This window comes from Homo sapiens, chromosome 8 (genome assembly GCF_000001405.40).
Source record: "Homo sapiens chromosome 8, GRCh38.p14 Primary Assembly".
Taxonomy (NCBI): domain Eukaryota; kingdom Metazoa; phylum Chordata; class Mammalia; order Primates; family Hominidae; genus Homo; species Homo sapiens.
The window spans coordinates 104,305,383-104,324,673 of record NC_000008.11 but is presented as its reverse complement, the minus strand read 5'-3'; the positions used below and the strand labels follow the sequence as shown (position 1 = coordinate 104,324,673).

Sequence of the window (19,291 nt, the reverse complement as noted above, 5' to 3'; positions counted from 1 at the left end):
CCCTGACAAGACAGAAGACCCTGGGGAGAATAGCTGCAGAAATGGAATCACAAGTGCCAGCTGCAGGTGGGAGCCACATAAACATTAGAATGGAAATTAAGTTGGAGAAGAGACAGCTCAGAATGGACTTTGGGGACTGCTTTTCTTCGTTCTGTAGATTGCCTTTCAAAGAGAAAATTAAACACTAAACATAAAGCAAATGTCCAAGGGAAGAGGGAATCTGCTTTCCTGCTGGTACCCTGGATGTTCTGGGCTGGGCCTGCCTCTGAGGCCCCCATCAGGCCGGAAGCCTAGAGTCCTTGGCCCCCTTCTGTGGACACTGTGGGTGGAAAGGTGCAATGAAGGCCTATTTCATAGAACTAACCTGCAGCAAAGACTCTGTGCACTATGAAGTGTTCAGGGTTGGGGGAGGAGGCAGCCCAAATCCATCAGCTGAAATCATTAGAGCCACTAATTGCTGCCTGGGATGAGCTAAGCTCTAACCGGGACTTTTATGAACCAGCAGAATTCCCAGGGAGCCCACAGGGCTGCGGCATCTCAGCGTCCTCCTCCTGCAGAACACCAGCAGCCACTGTGCTAATCAGCCTGTCCTCAGCCTGCCTGTCTCTTTCCTCCCAGACCTCAGTTTTGTTCCTAGCGTCTTGCAGCCTAATTATTCCTGGAGGTTGGGGGAGGGGGTGCATGGAGAGGTTGGACTCATAATTATATTAAGAGCTTTTGACAGGACCAACCTTTCTGTCTTCTATTTCTGTCTTGTTGAAATTCTACTGTGCCGCGTTAATGGGTGAAATAAATGTGAGGGGAAGGATCCATCAGCCCTTTCTGGAAACAGGGGAGGCAGCGCAGTGCATTGTGTGCCCAGCGCTCGTGTCCATGGCAAGATTTATGGCTTGTTCTCTTGACTAATAGGAAAACTGCCCAGACTTAAATGAGGAGGAAAAAAAAAAATCCCATGTTGTCTCACTCAGAGTTAAGTTTATTACATTCAATTTTATCCCAATCTCAAACCATAAAACAAAATGGGGCCCCCAGAAGGTATCTGGTCGACCCCTGTTTCTATTTCATGGGCTGGCTCTTTCCTGGCACCCCTGCTCTTGTCTTGACCTGCCCTGTGGTAGTTTGTCTTGTTGGGTATAAACAGGTTAGTGCTGGGAAAGTCAAGGCCACTGGCCAAGGCCTTCAGCTGGAAAGCGGCCAAGGCTCTGACTGTCCACCATCCCCAACACTGGCTTTTCTGACCTCAAGGGGAGTTAACAGTGTGAGCACATAACGGTCAGCACAGCAGGACTCAAGCAGAAAGCAGGGGAGTTGGAGGTAAGAAGGCCTTCTTGTGTGATAATAGCACCGTGGACAGATAGCCATCTGCTCTTGCTGGAGACCCTAACAATAACTAACATTATCAATCATCATAAGCCAGGGCCTGAGTTAAGCACATGGTGTGGCTTATCTAATTTAAGCCTCATGAAAACCCTGTGAATTAGGCACCATTATTAGTCTGTTTTATAGATGGAGGACAGACTTAGAGAGTTTAAGTAACTTGTCCAGTGCTATATGGATAGTAACTCTCATAACTGGGTTGTATTCATAACTAAGGTTTGAACTCAGACAATCTGATGCCTACACTGTTAGCCCCCGCATAAAATTGCCAATTTTGCACCCAGGGATGGAGAGAAAGAGTGGAGGAGCAAAGAGAGAGTCAGGCAGAGTCATCAACATCCCCATGTTTCTGGCACTCCCTGGGAAATATCTCGGGGTCTCCAACTTTGACTTCTGTCCTCCTTGACTGCTCTCCTTTCTGCTCTTCTCAGAAAGATCTTCATCAGGGTTTGGTGGGCTCTAAAGGGGTCTCAGAGAGGACCACAGCCCTTGACAAGTTTGCTCCTGAAAGTCTATCAACTTTAGTTCGTGTTTTGTGCCTGACCATTGATCTAATATTTTAGTTTGGAGAAATAAAACACCAATTTTACATGACTCTCATCATTCCAGGAGTTTTATTATCACATCCAAGAGCCTTGTGTCTGGTGCTTACTAATCAATAGAACCCACCTGACCAGGGCATCACAAGGTTTGCTACTGCTTTATTCTGTCCCATAAGAACTTGCATTCATCAAGAGTATGCTTGGCTGCAGGTTATAGAAAGCCTGACTTTCAGGGGCTTAAAAAGAAAGGAGGTGTATTTGTTGCACATACCAAGAAGCCTACAGCTAGGCAGCTGATGGTGTAGATCCGGTGGCTCAGTGATGTCAGGGCCACCTGCTCTTGGCCTTTCTTACAAGTTTGCAAGATGGCTGGTGCTACTCTAGGAATGTGACCTCATTAAACCAAGAAGAAGGCGGGAAGAGGTGGAGTTAATGGCATCTATCCCTTTCCTCAGAAAAAGCAACAGCCTTCCCAGAAGCTCCTAATGGACTTCTGCTGACATCCCATTGGTCAGAACTGTCATGTGATCAGACCAGGGACTGAGAAAGGAAGCAATTGCCCTTTGTAAAGAGACGCCCAGCATAAGGGAGCAGGATTATCCACTGAGTCAATCAACAAAGAGTGTCTGCCAGAGGAGCCACTTCTCAAATACTGTCTAGAGCCACAGTTCCCACCCAGGCTCTGCTGCTAGCTACTAGCTATGTGACCTGGAGAGTCACCTAATCTATGAAGTCTCAATGTCCTCGTTTGTAAAGTGGAGGTGATAGCAGCTGCTCAACAAGCTTGTTCTGAGACTGAAACAATCTAATAAATGTGAAAGCACCACGCCAATGCCTGGCACATGTCGTACAGCTGGATCCCAATCAGACTTAACAGGGACAGCTGGCGGCCAAAGAACCGAGCAGGACTTCTCCATGCCCCTTGCCCTTTTCCTGGCTGTCTTCCCACTCTCTGCCTGCCACATGGAGTAGCCCTGGCTTGATAAGTTCCTAAGATGAATGTCAGAGAACCACAGAAAAAGCCAGTAGAGGACAGTGGTTCAGAGCAAGGACCTCACGCTCAGACAGGCCTGAGTTTGAATCCTGGCTCAGCTCCTTACAGCTGTGGCCCATGGGGAAGTTACTTAAGTTCCCAGAACCCTCACTCTCTAAAGTGAGGTATCATTAGTTGTTGTGAAAAATAATGCAATACTGCTTATAAAACACGGAGTCAGACATCTAGCGAAAGTTTGAGTAATTGTTAATGTGAGAGGTGTGAACTCCTCCAGTACTATGCTACCTTCAGGTACGAATCAATCCCAGTCTTAACCTTGCTGAACTGGAAGGAAGTTCGGCAGAAGTGTCCGCCTGGGTTCGAATGCCAGCCCAGTCCCTCTGTGAGCCTGAATTTGTTTATCTGCACAATGAGGTAGAGCCTTCCCCACTGGCTACCTGGGAGATCTGGAGACAGCCCTGGAAAAGCCCCAAGCCCAGAGCCAGGCACAGAGGAAGAACTCAGTGGGCCATTGCTGTTCTTACTACCGGAACCTTCATCGGTGATGCTTGGCAGTGCCAGACATGGCTTGGGGCAGAGGTGCTTGGTATCACTTCTGAAAGGCAACTTGGAGATTTCTCTGGAATTCTTTGACAGGGCCCCTGTTGATGAAATGTGACAGCACCACGGCACCTGGGGCTCAGCCATAACCCTAGACAAGTAGAGCAAAGAGGAATGACACAGGCAGTCATGCCAGCCCTGCTCTTGGGGCCTGCGATGGCACAGGAAGCAAGCTGATGATGACAGGGATTGCCAGGGGCCACACCCACTCGGAAGCACCAGTGATTCGCTTTATGAATCTTCCTAAAGGGGTCTGGGGAACTTTGTGGGTGAGGGGAAGAAAACAAAATGCTTTACGATTTCTGTGTGAGTCTTTCCACACACACTCCCTCAATTCTACTGGGTCAGGTAAATCTCACAGTTTTTCTTCTCTGTGATTTAAGGGATAAAATATTAGGGAAGACAGACCTTTGCCCCATATATCCAGAAATAACATCTTCATTCCTGGCGATTCTGTGAATTGATTTCTACTGGGAGTTTATAGGTTCACTCTGCATGCCACCAGAATGGGGTATGGGAGGACCAAGGAGCCACCAGCCCAGGGAGCAGACACAGATTTTGTTTGCAGTATGCAAAGGTTGAAGCTAATGCTATTTTAGGTACCTCCTAGATGCATTATTTCTTTATTTACCAGTAGTTAAAATAGGCCTTGTTTCACCCACGTTTGCTTTGCATGTACTCTTCCAAACTGTTAATAGTAGTTAGCAAGGACTTTGCACATGCATTTTCCTATTCAACGTATGTAAGAGTTGGCTAGTCGTATGAAAATTGGAGAAATGAGGAAACTGAAGTGCAAAGAATTATTATACAACTTTTCTAAAGTCACAAGTAGAAAACTGCAGAAAGGGCTCAAACCCAGGTCCTCAGACTCAGCTCTTTTTTACAATACCATTTTGCATAATTCATTAGCAAGTTTTGCGCCCATGCATGGTATCACATTGCCTATCTGTGCCTTGGCTTCCTCATCGGGGGCAGCATAGCCTCACAGCTCAGAATATAGGATCTGCGACTTGGCCATTACCAGCTCTGTGACCTTAGCACTTCACAGAGTGATACGGCTTGAATGTTTATTCACTCTAAATCTCCGGTTGAAATGTAATCCCCAGTGTTGGAGGTGGGGCCTGGTGGGAGGTGATTGGATCATGGGGGCAGATCCCTCATGAATGGCTTAGAGCCATCCCCTTGGTGATGAGTGAGTTCTCCCTCTGAGTTCATATAAGATCTGGTTTAAAAGTGTGTGGTCCCCTCCCCCACTGCCTCTCTTGCTTCCTCTCTCACTTCCTCTCTCTCCATGTGACTGCTCCCCCTTTGCCTGCTCCTGCTTCACCTTCCACCATGATTGCAAGCTTCCTAAGCTCCCACCGGAAGCCAAGCAGATGCTGGCACTGTGCTTGTACGGCCTGCAGAACCGTAAGCCAATTAAACCTCTTTTCATTGTAAATTGCCCAGCCTCAGGTATTCCTTTATCTTAACACAAGAATTGACTAACACCAAGTTTGTTGTTTTGTCATCAAAATGGGGATAGCGACCACCTTACAACTGCCAGGCACATACCATATGCTCAATAAATGGTGTCGTGTACTATTACATTAATAATAATATTCTCTAGGTCAGTATTATTTAACAGTGTGTCACCAACAGGGATGACCCTCTGGTACTTTATGTATGCATTTATTTGAATTGATCTATTTAAACATTAGATAGGTACTTAATTTAAATGCAAGCCTCCAGAGTTCAGGGACCATCATTCTACTCTGATACCCAACCTCTTCCTCCTTCCTCATCTCCAGGGCACCTGCCTTATACATGTCTATCAATTGGACTTAAATTAGGTGACAAAAGGCTTGATGTACATGTGTATCCAGGCAGTCAGAAAAAACGAATATCCATAAGAAAACCCACAAAAAGCTAAATGAATTCATTCTAACAACTTTTGAGTAGAGATCGTGAAGAAGGGGTTGGAAAGACTAGACCCATTGGCTTTGAATAAATGTTTAACGTTGATCTGGATGTTCTGTCCTCAGGCAAAGCCAGGAATCAACTCTGGCCAAATCTCTACATATGGGTTCTCCAGCTGTGCCCCATGAAAATGAAACGGCTTATCCAATAACGTGCCTCACCATTGTTTTTCTTGTAGAATAACAGGCAGGCATCTGTTTAGGCAGGAAAAGAAAAGACATGCAAAAGTGAAGAAGTTCCTGTTGAAAGTGCATGATGTCATGTATAGCTCTTAGTAAGTGAAAATCGTGTCTTTGCAGGAAACCTCGTTCCAGCACAGATGGTCCTGACTGACAACCCCAGCCAGCCTTGGGAGCAATAGTTGAGATAAATCTAAAATTATAGGGTCTTCCCACAAAGGTGAGAAAAGGTGATATTTGAAGAAGAAAAGGTAATTTAAACTGGAATGTTTATACCCAAATTATTGGGCTCCCTTTGCCTCTCTTTTTTTCTTCCATTAGATTCATTTTGTTCTCGAAAGGGAAATTTTAAAACACTGTACCTTGCTCATGGTGGTGGAGCAATAATTTTTTTTCTAAATTGAATCAATCATTTCATTTTCCATTCATGCCTTCTCCTGCCCTCCAGCAAGTAACTCTCTCTCCAGTGCTGACACAGAACCAGAGATGATCACTCCCAGTGGGGAGTGTCTGTGGATCAGAATCACTAGCTCCATCCCATTCCCATCCTTCCATTCAGTGATGATGGAAAGTGCTCAGAGACTACGAGGCAGGCGTGTGCACTCAGATGCATGGGTCCTTACCTACAGCTGTGTGAACCTGGATGAGTTACTTAACCTTTCTGAGCTTCAGAATCCTTATTGGTAAAATGGTAATACCTCATAAGGTTGTCATGAGACTTGGGAGATTTAAGACAGGCAAAGTAAACCAGGTGCTGTGGCTCAGGCCTATAATCCCAGCACTTTGGAGAGCCAAGGTGGGAGGATCACTTGAGGCCAAGAGTTTGAGACCAGCCTGGACAACATAGCAAGATCCTGTTTCAATGAAAAAATTTAAAAATTAGCCAGAATGGTGGTACATGTCTGTAGTCCCAGCTACTCAGGAGGCTGAGGCAGGAAGGTCTCTTGAGCCCAGGAGTTGGTGAAACTGCCTTTGCAAAGATTATGACAGTGAGAGAAATATGGCATGGCTGACTCCATCTTGCTTCTAGCCTCTCAGGCTGGCTGGCTGGCTTTGCTCATTCCTGGGCATAGGCCAAGCTAATCATGGAAGGAATTTAACCTTGAAGCAAGGATAATAATAGTCCCTCCCTAAAACTAACTCCCTCCTTGCTCAGGGACCAAAAACTAATGAAAGGCTATGGGATTAGGATTATGGGAGGGACCTGAATTCTGCTAAAATGTAGACATAGTTTCTATAATCCCTAAGTGCTCAGGAGTCATATAATCAGAGGGCACAAGATTTGTGACTTTCCCAATTGCTCCTATAGATAGACCCCACCTGGACCCATGACTCATGACTCAGCCAATCCTGTGGCCCCCACTCAGAGGCAAACTCAATGCTCAAAGACTGTTTCCCACACCCCTGTGATTTCATCCCCAGCCAATCAGCAGTTCCCATTCCCTAGCCCCTCTGCCCACCAAATTGTCCATAAAAACCCCAGCCTCTGAGTTCTTGGGGAGACTGATTTGAGTGATGACTTCATCTCCCACATGGCCAGCCTCCCATCAATTAAACTCTTTCTTAATTGCAGTATCATGGTCTCAGTGAACTGGTCTTTTCTGTACAGTAGGCAGGAAGAACCCACTGAGTGATTACACTAGAGGCTGCAGTGACCTGTGATCCCTGCCACAGCACTCCAGCCTGGGTGATGAACTGAGAACCTGTCTCTAAAAAAAAAAAAAAAAAAAAAAAAAAAAAAAAAAAAAAAAAAGACAAGCAAAGCATGCTTCCAGCAGTTATTGACAACCATTATTAGACATAGTAGGCATAAATTGTAAGGTAGTCTCATATATTCCCCTGTTCACATGCTCCCAGACCCTGAGGTGTGTCCTCACCACTGTGTGTGCTCATTTTGGACTGTGTGTGCCCTCTGGGCACAAAAGCCACCACACCAGGCCATCTCAGAGAAGGATTTACTGAGGCCCAGACGGGTGGCTTTGTCAGCCAACCAAGAGCCAGGCCTGGAGGTCAGGTGACCTCATTCTCAGGCCCATATTTATTAGCCACCTTAAGGATTTTAAATTTTGGCAAAGGATGAAGCATTCTCAAGATCCAAGTCACATGAAGCAGAGTCTGGTTCTGTGTGTTTGTTTAAATGAAGCAGCTTATGACATGAGTATTCAATTTCTGTCATCTGTTCTAAATTTAAGCATGCAAAATGTCAAGTTATCTCACTATTTTGCTTGAGTTAAAAAAAAAGATTTAGATTTATGGCTGAATGTTATAAGAGCTTCTGCTTCATTTCAAATCCTGACAGGCCCCGCAAAAGAAGCAATTGACCAGTAAGTCCCTTCCTGAGCCTAAGGTCAGTGTGCTGGTCCTGGAATGCACATTAGCAACAAGATCCAAACCTTCTGTCCAGCCACCTCTGGAGGGAGGGTCTGGATGCTCCAATTGCTCCTGCACCACCTGTGCTCCCCACCCATGCCTCTCCCCAGCTCCCTCCCCTACTCCTCTCCAGGGAGAGCTCCATACCAAGGGCTACCTCTGAGCACCTCCAAGGCCAAGAGCTTGGAGCTCCTCCAAGACCTGGAGGACTGAATCCTCCTGGCCCTCAGCAACTTGCCCCTGGGGCAAGAGGATGTTTCTACAAAGGTGCCCCACCTGAAAGGACACCCTGGACTTAGGGCTGAGGCCCAAGGGACAGTGCCTGGCTTTAATATCCCAAGTTACTTTCCAGTGTCCCTCGATGTCTGCCACTTAAAGATAGCATCAGGTAAAATATGCATCTATTGGTTTTGTTTTCTTAGATAATAGCTTTTAATACCATGCCATTGCCTTATCAAAGACCTCATAAGAAAGCTTTGTGATAACTAAAAATTCTCTAAACAGACAAAGGAAATGGCACTTGGAATCACTGTTTATTCATTTTCTAACAAGGCCTGGTTACACCCTCTGTCTGGTATAGATAAGAAAACTTACTTTTTGTGTAACTTAGAGTCAAAATTGCAGAACTCTGCGGTGTATCTGATACTTTCTCAACCTGATTAATGGTGTTGTGGATCATAAATTGTCAACTCCCCCCCAACCTCAACACCACAAGAGCTGCAGCAAAAGCCACCCAATCTAAAGCCATCCCCTGATGGAGCACGCAGTTGCACTCTCATCTCTTCATTTTAATTATCAGCACATTACACTCCGATAGTTTCCTTGTTTGTTTATCTTCTGCCTCCAAAACACAAGAATGTAAACTCCTAAGTCAATCTCATCCACAGCAACGGCCACAGAGTCCAAAACAATGAGGTGCTCAACACCTAGTTCTCTTTGCAGCTTTAACTCTTGTTATCTAGGCAAGATCAGGAAGCCAGTGGAGAGCTAGAAGAGGAAGGAAAGTACCATAGGAGAGAGGGACATAAGGATATCCATTAAGGAAAGGAAGCTGTATCCAGGAGAAAGCCAAGGAGGGAAAATCTAAGAAATGTCATTCTCCCCCATTCTCCGTTTCTGAACCTACTAAAATAAGTAAGAATTTCAAGAATGAACTGAGCTTTTCCATCAAGCTGCTTTGCAGGTGAGCTGCCTAATGTCTACATGATCCTCTTTCCCATTCTCTGCAACCATGGCTCAAACCAGCTGCTGGAACCCAGTCTTCCCTCTGTTTCCATCAACCCCTTACCTAGCTGCCCCATGCCGTGGGCATCAAAGGCCACACCAGCCAGCTGATAGAAGCCTAACAAACTATGCCTACTGTATTAGTCTGTTCCCACACTGCTGATAAAGACATACCCAAGACTGGGTAATTTATAAAGGAAAGAGGTTTAATTGACTCACTGTTCCACATGGCTGAGGAGGCCTCACAATCATGGTGGAAGGGGAAGGAGGAACAAAATCCCGTCTTACATGGCGGCAGGCAAGAAAACTTGTATAGGGGAACTCCCCTTTATAAAACCATCAGATCTCTTGATGGTTTTATACCTATTCACTACCATGAGAACAGCACAGCAAAGACCCGTCCCCATGATTCAATTTACTCCCACCAGGTGTCTCCCACGACACATGGGAATTATGGGAGCTACATTTCAAGATGAGATTTGGGTGGGAACATGGCCAAACCATATCACCTACCTACCGAAACTGAGAATGAAAATTACTGCATAGGTGTTACACACTGACATTCAGAGACATGAGTCAAGAGAGATGACACAGGGGCAGTGAGTGAGGCCTGGGGCAGTGCCTGGGAGAACTATCAAATGGAGCAATGTATCAGTCAGCTCCAGCTGCCGTAATAGAATGCCACAGACTCAGCTCTTTTTTTTTTTTTTTTTTACTATACTTTAAGTTCTAGGGTACATGTGCACAATGTGCAGGTTTGATACATATGTATACATGTGCCATGTTGGCTTCCTACACCCATCAACTCATCATTTACATTAGGTATTTCTCCTAATGCTATCCCTCCCCCAGCCCCCTACCCCTCTACAGGCCCTGGTGTGTGATGTTCTGTTCCCTGTTTCCAGGTGATCTCATTGTTCAATTCCCACCTATGAGTGAGAACATGTGGTGTTTGGTTTTCTGTCCTTGTGAAAGTTTGCTGAGAATGGTGGTTTCCAGCTTCATCCATGTCCCTACAAAGGACAAGAACTCATCCTTTCTTATGGCTGCACAGTATTCCATGGTGTATATGTGCCACAATTTCTGAATCCAGTCTATCATTGATGGACATTTGGGTTGGTTCCAAGTCTTTGCTATTGTGAATAGTGCTGCAATAAACATACGTGTGCATGTGTCTTTATAGCAGCATGATTTATAATCCTTTCGGTATATACCCAGTAATAGGATGGCTGGGTCAAATGGTATTTCTAGTTCTAGATCCTTGAGGAATTGCCACACTGTCTTCCACAATGGTTGAACCAGTTTACAGTCCCACCAACAGTGTAAAAGTGTTCCTACTTCTCCACATCCTCTCCAGCACCTGTTGTTTCCTGACTTTTTAATGATTGCCATTCTAACTGCTGTGAGATGGTATCTCATTGTGGTTTTGATTTGCATTTCTCTGATGGCCAGTGATGGTGAGCATTTTTTCATGTGTCTGTTGGCTGCATACATGTCTTCTTTTGAGAAGTGTCTGTTCATATCCTTTGCACACTTTTTGATGGGGTTGTTTGATTTTTTCTTGTAAACTTGTTTGAGTTCTTTGTAGATTCTAGATATTAGCCCTTTGTCATATGGGTAGATTGTAAAAATTTTCTCCCATTCTGTAGGTTGCCTGTTCATTCTGATGGTAGTTTCTTTTGCTGTGCAGAAGCTCTTTAGTTTAATTAGATTCTATTTGTCTATTTTGGCTTTTGTTGCCATTGCTTTTGATGTTTTAGTCATGAAGTCCTTGCCCATGCCTATGTCCTGAATGGTATTGCCTAGGTTTTCTTCTAGAGGTTTTATGTTTTCAGGCCTAACATTTAAGTCTTTAATCCATCTTGAATTAATTTTTGTATAAGTTGTAAGGAAGGGATCCAGTTTCAGCTTTCTACATGTGGCTAGCCAGTTTTCCCAGCACCATTTATTAAATAGGGAGTCCTTTCCCCATTTCTTGTTTCTGTCAGGTTTGTCAAAGATGAGATGGTTGTAGATATGTGGTGTTATTTCTGAGGGCTCTCTTCTGTTCCACTGGTCTATATCTCTGTTTTGGTACCAGTAGCATGCTGTTTTGGTTACTGTAGCCTTGTAGGATAGTTTGAAGTCAGGTAGCGTGATGCCTCCAGCTTTGTTCTTTTTGCTTAGGATTGTCTTGGCAATGTGTGCTCTTTTTTTGGTTCCATATGAACTTTAAAGTAGTTTTTTCCAATTCTGTGAAGAAAGTCATTGGTAGCTTGATGGGGATGGCATTGAATCTATAAATTACTTTTGGCAGTATGGCCATTTTCACAATATTGATTCATCCTGTCTGTGAGCACGGAATATTCTTCCATTTGTGTCCTCTTTGTATTTTGTTGAGCAGTGGTTTGTAGTTCTCCTTGAAGAGGTCCTTCACATTCCTTGTAAGTTGGATTCCTAGGTATTTTATTCTCTTTGAAGCAATTGTGAATGGGAGTTCACTCATGATTTGGCTGTTTATCTGTTAATGGTGTATAGGAAAGCTTGTGATTTTTGCACATTGATTTTGGATCCTGAGACTTTGTGGAAGTTGCTTATCAGCTTAAGGAGATTTTGGGCTGAGATGATGGGGTTTTCTAAATATACAATCATGTCATCTGCAAACAGGGACAGTTTGACTTCCTCATTTCCTAATTGAATACCCTTTATTTCTTTCTCTTTCTTGATTGCCCTGGCCAGAATTTCCAACACTATGTTGAATAAGAGTGGTGAGAGAGGGCAACCTTGTCTTGTGCTGGTTTTCAAAAGAGAATGCTTCTAGTTTTTGTCCATGCAGTATGATATTGGCTGTGGGTTTGTCATAAATAGCTCTTATTATTTTGAGATACATCCCATCAATAACTAGTTTATTGAGAGTTTTTAGCATGAAGGGCTGTTGAATTTTGTCGAAGGCCTTTTCTGCATCTATTGAGATAATCATGTGGTTTTTGTCGATGGTTCTGTTTATGTGATGGATTATGTTTATTGATTTGCGTATGTTGAACCAGCCTTTCATCCCAGGGATGAAGCTGACTTGATCGTGGTGAATAAGCTTTTTGGTGTGCTGCTGGACTCGGTTTACCAGTATTTTATTGAGGATTTTTGCATCGATGTTCTTCAGGGATATTGGTCTAAAATTGTCTTTTTTTGTTGTTGTGTCTCTGCCAGGCTTTGGTATCAGGATGATGTTGGACTCATCATCCTGTTGAGTTAGGGAGGATTCCCTCTTTTTCTATTGATTGGAATAGTTTCAGAAGGAATGGTACCAGCTCCTCTTTGTACCTCTGGTAGAATTTGGCTGTGAATCCATCTGGTCCTGGACTTTTTTTGGTTGGTAGGCTATTAATTGTTGCCTCAATTTCAGAGCCTGTTATTGGTCTATTCAGAGATTCAACTTCTTCCTGGTTTAGTCTTGGGAGGGTGTATGTGTCCAGGAATTTATCCATTTCTTCTAGGTTTTCTAGTTTATTTGCATAGTGGTATTTATAGTATTTTCTGATGGTAGTTTGTTCTGTGGAATCGATGGTGACATCCCCTTTATCATTTTTATTGCGTCTATTGGATTCTTCTCTCTTTTCTTCTTTATTAGTCTTGCTAGCGTTCTATCAATTTTGTTGATCATTTCAAAAAACCAGCTCCTGGATTCATTGAATTTTTGAAGGGTTTTTTATGTCTCTATCTCCTTCAGTTCTGCTCTGATCTTAGTTATTTCTTGCCTTCTGCTAGCTTTTGAATGTGTTTGCTCTTGCTTCTCTAGTTCTTTTAATTGTGATGTTAGGATGTTGATTTTAGATCTTTCCTGCTTTTTCTTGTGGGCATTTAGTGCTATAAATTTCCCTCTATACACTGCTTTAAATGTGTCCCAGAGATTCTGGTATGTTGTGTCTTTGTTCTCATTGGTTTCAAAGAACATCTTTATTTTTGCTTTCATTTCATTATTTACCCAGTAGTCATTCAGGAGCAGGTTGTTCAGTTTCCATGAAGTAGTGCAGTTTTGTGTGAGTTTCTTAATCCTGAGTTCTAATTTGATTGCACCGTGGTCTGAGAGATAGTTTGTTGTGATTTCTGTTCTTTTACATTTGCTGAGGAGTGCTTTACTTCCAATTATGTGGTCAATTTTAGAATAAGTGTGATGTGGTGCTGAGAGGAATGTATATTCTGTTGATTTGGGGTGGAGAGTTCTGTAGATGTCTATTAGGTCTGCTTGTTGCAGAGCTGAGTTCAAGTCCTGGATATCCTTATTAAACTTCTGTCTCGTTGATATGTCTAATATTGGCAGTGGGGTGTTAAAGTCTCCCATTATTATTGTGTGGGAGTCTAAGTCTCTTTGTAGGTCTCTAAGGACTTGCTTTATGAATCTGGGTGCTCCTGTATTGGGTGCATATATATTTAGGATAGTTAGCTCTTCTTGTTGAATTCATCCCTTTACCATGATGTAATGGCCTTCTTTGTCTCTTTTGATCTTTGTTGGTTTAAAATCTGTTTTATCAGAGACTAGGATTGCAACCCCTGCTTTTTTTTGCTTTCTGTTTGCTTGGTAGATCTTCCTCCATCCCTTTATTTTGAGCCTGTGTGCATCTTTGCACATGAGATGGGGCTCCTGAATACAGCACACTGATGGGTCTTGACTCTTTATCCAATTTGCCAGTCTGTGTCTTTTACTTGGGACATTTAGCCCATTTATATTTAAGGTTAATATTGTTATGTGTGAATTTGATCCTGTTATTATGATGTTCACTGGTTATTTTGCCCATTAATTGATGCAGTTTCTTCATAGTATCGATGATCTTTACAATTTGGCATGTTTTTGCAGTGGCTGGTACCAGTTGTTTCTTTCCATGTTTAGTGCTTCCTTCAGGAGCTCCTGTAAGGCAGGCCTGGTGGCGACAAAATCTCTCAGCATTTGCTTGTCTGTAAAGGATTTTATTTCTCCTTCACTTATGAAGCTTAGTTTGGCTAGATATGAAATTCTGGGTTGAAAATTCTTTTCTTTAAGAATGTTAAATATTGGCCCCCAATCTCTTCTGGCTTGTAGGGTTTCTGCTGAGATATCTGCCATTAGTCTGATGGGCTTCCCTTTGTGGGTAACTTGACCTTTCTCTCTGGCTGCCCTTAACACTTTTTCCTTCATTTCAACCTTGGTGAATCTGATAATTATGTGTCTTGGGGTTGCTCTTCTCAAGGAGTATCTTTGTGGTGTTCTCTGTATTTCCTGAATTTGAATGTTGGCCTCCCTTGCTAGGTTGGGGAAGTTCTTCTGCATAATATCCTGAACAGTGTTTTCCAGCTTGGTTCCATTCTTTCAGGTACACCAATCAAACGTAGATTTGGTCTTTTCACATAGTCCCATATTTCTTGGAGGCTTTGTTCGTTTCTTTTTACTCTTTTTTCTCTAACCTTGTCTTCTCACTTTATTTCATTAATTTGATCTTCAATCACTGAAACCCTTTCTTCCACTTGATTGAATTGGCTACTGAAGCTTGTGCGTGCATCACAAAGTTCTTGTGCCATGGTTTTCAGTTCCATCAGGTCATTTAAGCTCTTCTTTACACTGTTTATTCTAGTTAGCCATTTGTCTAATCTTTTTTCAAGGTTTTTAGCTTCCTTGCAATGGGTTCAAACATCCTCCTTTAGCTCAGAGAAGTTTGTTATTACCGACCTTCTGAAGCCTACTTCTGTCAACTCGTCAAAGTCATTCTCTGTCTAGCTTTGTTCCGTTGGTGGCGAGGAGCTGCGATCCTTTGGAGGAGAAAAAGCACTCGGATTTTTAGAATTTTCAGCTTTTCTGCTCTGGTTTCTCCCCATCTTTGTGGTTTTATCTACCTTTGGTCTTTGATGTTGGTGACCTACAGATGGGGTTTTGGTGTAGATGAGCTTTTTGTTGATGCTGATGCTATTCCTTTCTGTTTGTTAGTTTTCCTTCTCACAGTCAGGTCCCTCAGCTGCAGGTCTGATGGAGTTTGCTGGATGTCCACTGCAGACCCTGTTTGCCTGGGTATCACCAGCGGAGGCTACAGAACAACAAATCTTGCTGCCTGATCCTTCCTCTGGAAGCTTCGTCCCAGAGGAGCAGCTGCCTATATGAGGTGTCTGTTGGCCCCTACTGGGAGGTGTCCCCCAGTTAGGCTACCCGGGGGTCAGGGACCCACTTGTGGAGGCAGTCTTTCCATTCTCAGAGCTCAAATGCCATGCTGGGATAACCACTGCTCTCTTCAGGGCTGTCAGACAGGGACGTTTAAGTCTGCAGAAGTTGTCTGCTGCCTTTTGTTCAGCTATGCCCTGCCCATAGAGGTGGAGTCTAGAGGCAGTGGGCCTTGTTTACCTGTGGTGGACTCTGCGCAGTTCAAGCTTCCTGGCTGCTTTGTTTACCTACTCAAGCCTCAGCAATGGCGGACTCCCCTCCCCCAGCCAGGCTGCCACCACACAGTTTGATCTCAGACTGCTGTGCTAGCAGTGAGCAAGCCTCTGTGGGTGTGGGACCCACCGAGCCAGGCACAGGAGAGAATCTCCTTGTCTGTCAGTTGCTAAGACCTTGGGAACAGCGCAGTATTTGGGCAAGATTGTCCCATTCTTCCAGGTAGTCTGTCACTGCGTCCGTTGGCTAAGAAAGGGAAATCCCCCAACCCCTTGCACTTCCTGGGTAAGGCAACGCCCCACCCTGCTTCAGCTCACCCTCCGTGGCCTGCACCCACTGTCCAACCAGCCCCAATGAGAAGAACCAGATATCTCAGTTGGAAATGCAGAAATCACCTGTCTTCTGTGTCATTCACGGTGGGAGCTGCAGACCAGAGCTGTTCCTATTCGGCCATCTTGGCAACTCAGCTCTTTAAACAACAAAAAACGTGTCTTCTCATTGTTCTGGAGGCTAGAAGTCCAAGATAGTTGTAGGTAGGTTTGGTTTCTCCTGAGGCCTCTCTTCTTGGCTTGTGGATGGCCGCCTTCCTGCTGTGTCCTCACATGGACTTTCTTCTGTGTACATCCCTGGTGTCCAAATGTCTTCTTCTTATATGGATGCCAGTCAGATTAGATTAGGGCCCACTCTCATGACCTTATGTTAGCTTATAATCACCTCTTTCAAGACCCCATCTCCAAATATAGTCACATTGTGAGGTATTGGTGGTTAGGGCTTCAATGTATGAAATTTTGTGGAGGGCAATTCAGTCCTAACAAGCTGTGTAAAAGTATGGAGCTGCGAGTGATGTTGGCCCTGGGTGTGATATGGTTTGGCTGTGTCCCTACCCAAATCTCACCTCGAATTGTAATAATCCCCACATGTCAAGACAGGGCCAACTGGAGATAATTGAATCATGGGGGAGGTTTCCCCCATACTGTTCTCATGGTGGTGAATAAATCTCATGAGATCGGATGGTTTTATAAATGGGAGTGCCCCTGTACAAACTCTCTCTTACCTGCTGCAATGTAAGATGTGGCTTTGCTCTTTTTTCACCTCCTGCCATGATTGTGAGGCCTCCCCAGCATTGTGGAACTGTGAGTCAATTAAACCTCTTCCCTTTATAAATTACCCAGTCTTGGGTATGTCTTCATTAGCAGCATGAGAATGGACTAATACAGAGGGTTTGAAATGATGGTGTAACTGCATCTGATGAGTTCTTCCTGCCCACTGCACAAACAACGTCAATTTATTAAGACCATAGCATTGCAGTTAAGAAAGAGTTTAATTGATGCAAGGTCGGCCACATGGGAGACAGAGTTATTACTCAAATTAATCTCATCAAAGGCTCAAAGGTTAAGGGTTTTTCAAAGATAGTTTGCTGGGTAAGAGGCCAGGGAGTGGGGAGAGCTGACTGATTGGAGATAAAATCATAGGGAATTGAAGCTGTCCTCCTGAGCTGAATCTGTTCCTAGGTGAGGGCCAGAGGACTGGTTGGCAAGTCTTGGGCAGCGGGGCATCCAGTTGTCAGAGACGCAAAAAACTGAAAAGACAACTCAAAAGGCCAATCTTAGTTTCTCTAATAGTGATGTTATCTGCAGGAGTAATTGGAGAAGTTGCAACTCTTGTGACCTCTGGAATAATGGCTGATAATTTTTTAACTATGCCTACACCATTTCCTCCTAAGATGGTGACCTTTCATTAGTTTTACAAGAGCAGTTTAGTTTTGGGAAAGGGCCACTACCATTTAAACTATAAATTAAATTTCTCCCGAAGTTAGCTTGGCCCACACCCAGGAATGTGCAAAGACAGCCAGCCTGTAAGGCTAGAAGCAAGATGGAGTCAGCCATGTCGGATTTCTCTTATGTCATAACTTTACAAAGGCAGTTTCAATGGGAGATAGAAAGGAAAGATGCAGTGGCAGTTAGACACAGGTAAGGTCTGCAGTTTAGAACCATCAATTAGGATTGAGATTGTGCTATGGGTTGAATTGTGTCCTCAAAATGTGGGGGCTATAGTCTCCTGGCCCCTAAAAGTTCACTGAAAAATCACTGACATGAGGCAGGTTGACTAATAGGAGAAAGGCATACAATTTATTTAATGTGTATATGTGGGAGCCTTCAGAATGAAGATTCCACCCAACAATATGTTCTAGAAGTTTCTGTGTCATCTTGGGATTATAGAAAGAATATGACTCAATGGATGCCCCAAAACCAGGTTTTAGTGGCAAGACAGGTTATGAGAGGGAGAAAGGAAGAGGCTTGGCTGGCAAAGATGGCCTTGTTACGTAGACGAAGCCTCCCTCTGACAGAATAGATGGTAAATGATTATTTTTAGACTTTTAATGATGTCAGACTCTCAATCTCTTCTAGATCCTGGAAAGGCATGGAAAGAGCCTGACTACACTTAATGGAGATGCTCCACAGATGCAAGTTTTTCGCCACAAAATACAGCTTTGCAAGGTCACTTCTGTTTGCTCACTTTGTGGCAGCCATTTTTATTTCTTTAAATATAAAAAATATATTTTGAGGTAAAATATTTTTATTTCCTTCAGAGTTATTAGTGGAATTGTGTCCTCAAAAAAAAAAAAAAAAAAAGGCCAAGTGCAGTGGCTGTCACCTGTAATCCTAGCACTTTGGGAGGACCAAGGCAGGTGGATCACCTGAGGTCAAGAGTTCAAGACCAGCCTGGCCAGCATGGCAAAACCTCGTCTCTACTAAAAATACAAAAAAAAAAAAAAAAAAAAGCCAGGTGTGGTGGCATGTGCCTGTAAACCCAGCTACTCAGGAGGCTGAGGCATGAGAATCATTTGAACTTGGGAGGCAGAGATTGCAGTGAGCCGAGATTGTGCCACTGCATTCCAGCCTGGGAGACAGGGTGAGACTCCATCTCAAAAAAATAAAAAATAAAAAAGATATGTCGAAGTCCTAACTCCTAGTACCTCAGAACTGAAAATAGAGTTTTTACAGAGGTAATCAGATTAAGATGAGGTCTTTAGTGGGCCTCTAGTCCAATATGACTGCTATCTTTATTGAAAGGGGGAAATTTAAACATAGAGATAGACACATACAGAGGGAAGACACACAGGGAGGATGCCGTGTGAAGATGGAACACTAGACGGACACATGTACAAGTCAAAGAATGCCAGAAATTGCCAGCAAACCACCAAAGTTGGAAGAAGCCAAGAAGCATTCCCCTGCAGGTTTCAGAGGGACCGTGACCCTGCGACACCTTGGCCTCAGAGTTTTCAGCCTTCATAACTGTGAGACGATACATCTCTGGTGTTCTAAGCCACACAATGTGTGGTACTTTGTTTTGACAGCCCTAGGAAACTACTACAGAATGTGTCTGAGACCTTGGACCAACCATCCCTGGTCTGGACATCAGCCTGCCAACACCTACACAGAGTCAACTTGGGCGGGTCACACATGCAGCAGAGGCAGCCGGACACCATGCTCCTGTATGGGTGGCCCACGTCCACAGCTGACCACCTCCAGCTGTTACAGTAGATAGCTAGCTAGTCAGGCATGAGTGGGGCAGGAGGAGACTCCCCCCAACCCACTAGGAATGTCAGGCAACCATCAGGTAATGGTCCAGCAGTTGTCACATTGCCTCTCTAAAATGATCATAGGTTAAA

General features: G+C 44.0%; 1 long non-coding RNA gene across 1 annotated transcript; it reads left to right on the top strand.

The window, feature by feature from the left end:
- Window positions 1–1,188: 1,188 nt before the first annotated feature.
- Window positions 1,189–18,124, top strand: LOC107986899 (uncharacterized). Its single transcript, XR_001745732.1, has 3 exons — window positions 1,189–1,314; window positions 5,772–5,871; window positions 18,027–18,124. It is a non-coding gene; the product is annotated as an uncharacterized LOC107986899 (long non-coding RNA).
- The last annotated feature ends 1,167 nt before the right edge of the window (window positions 18,125–19,291 follow it).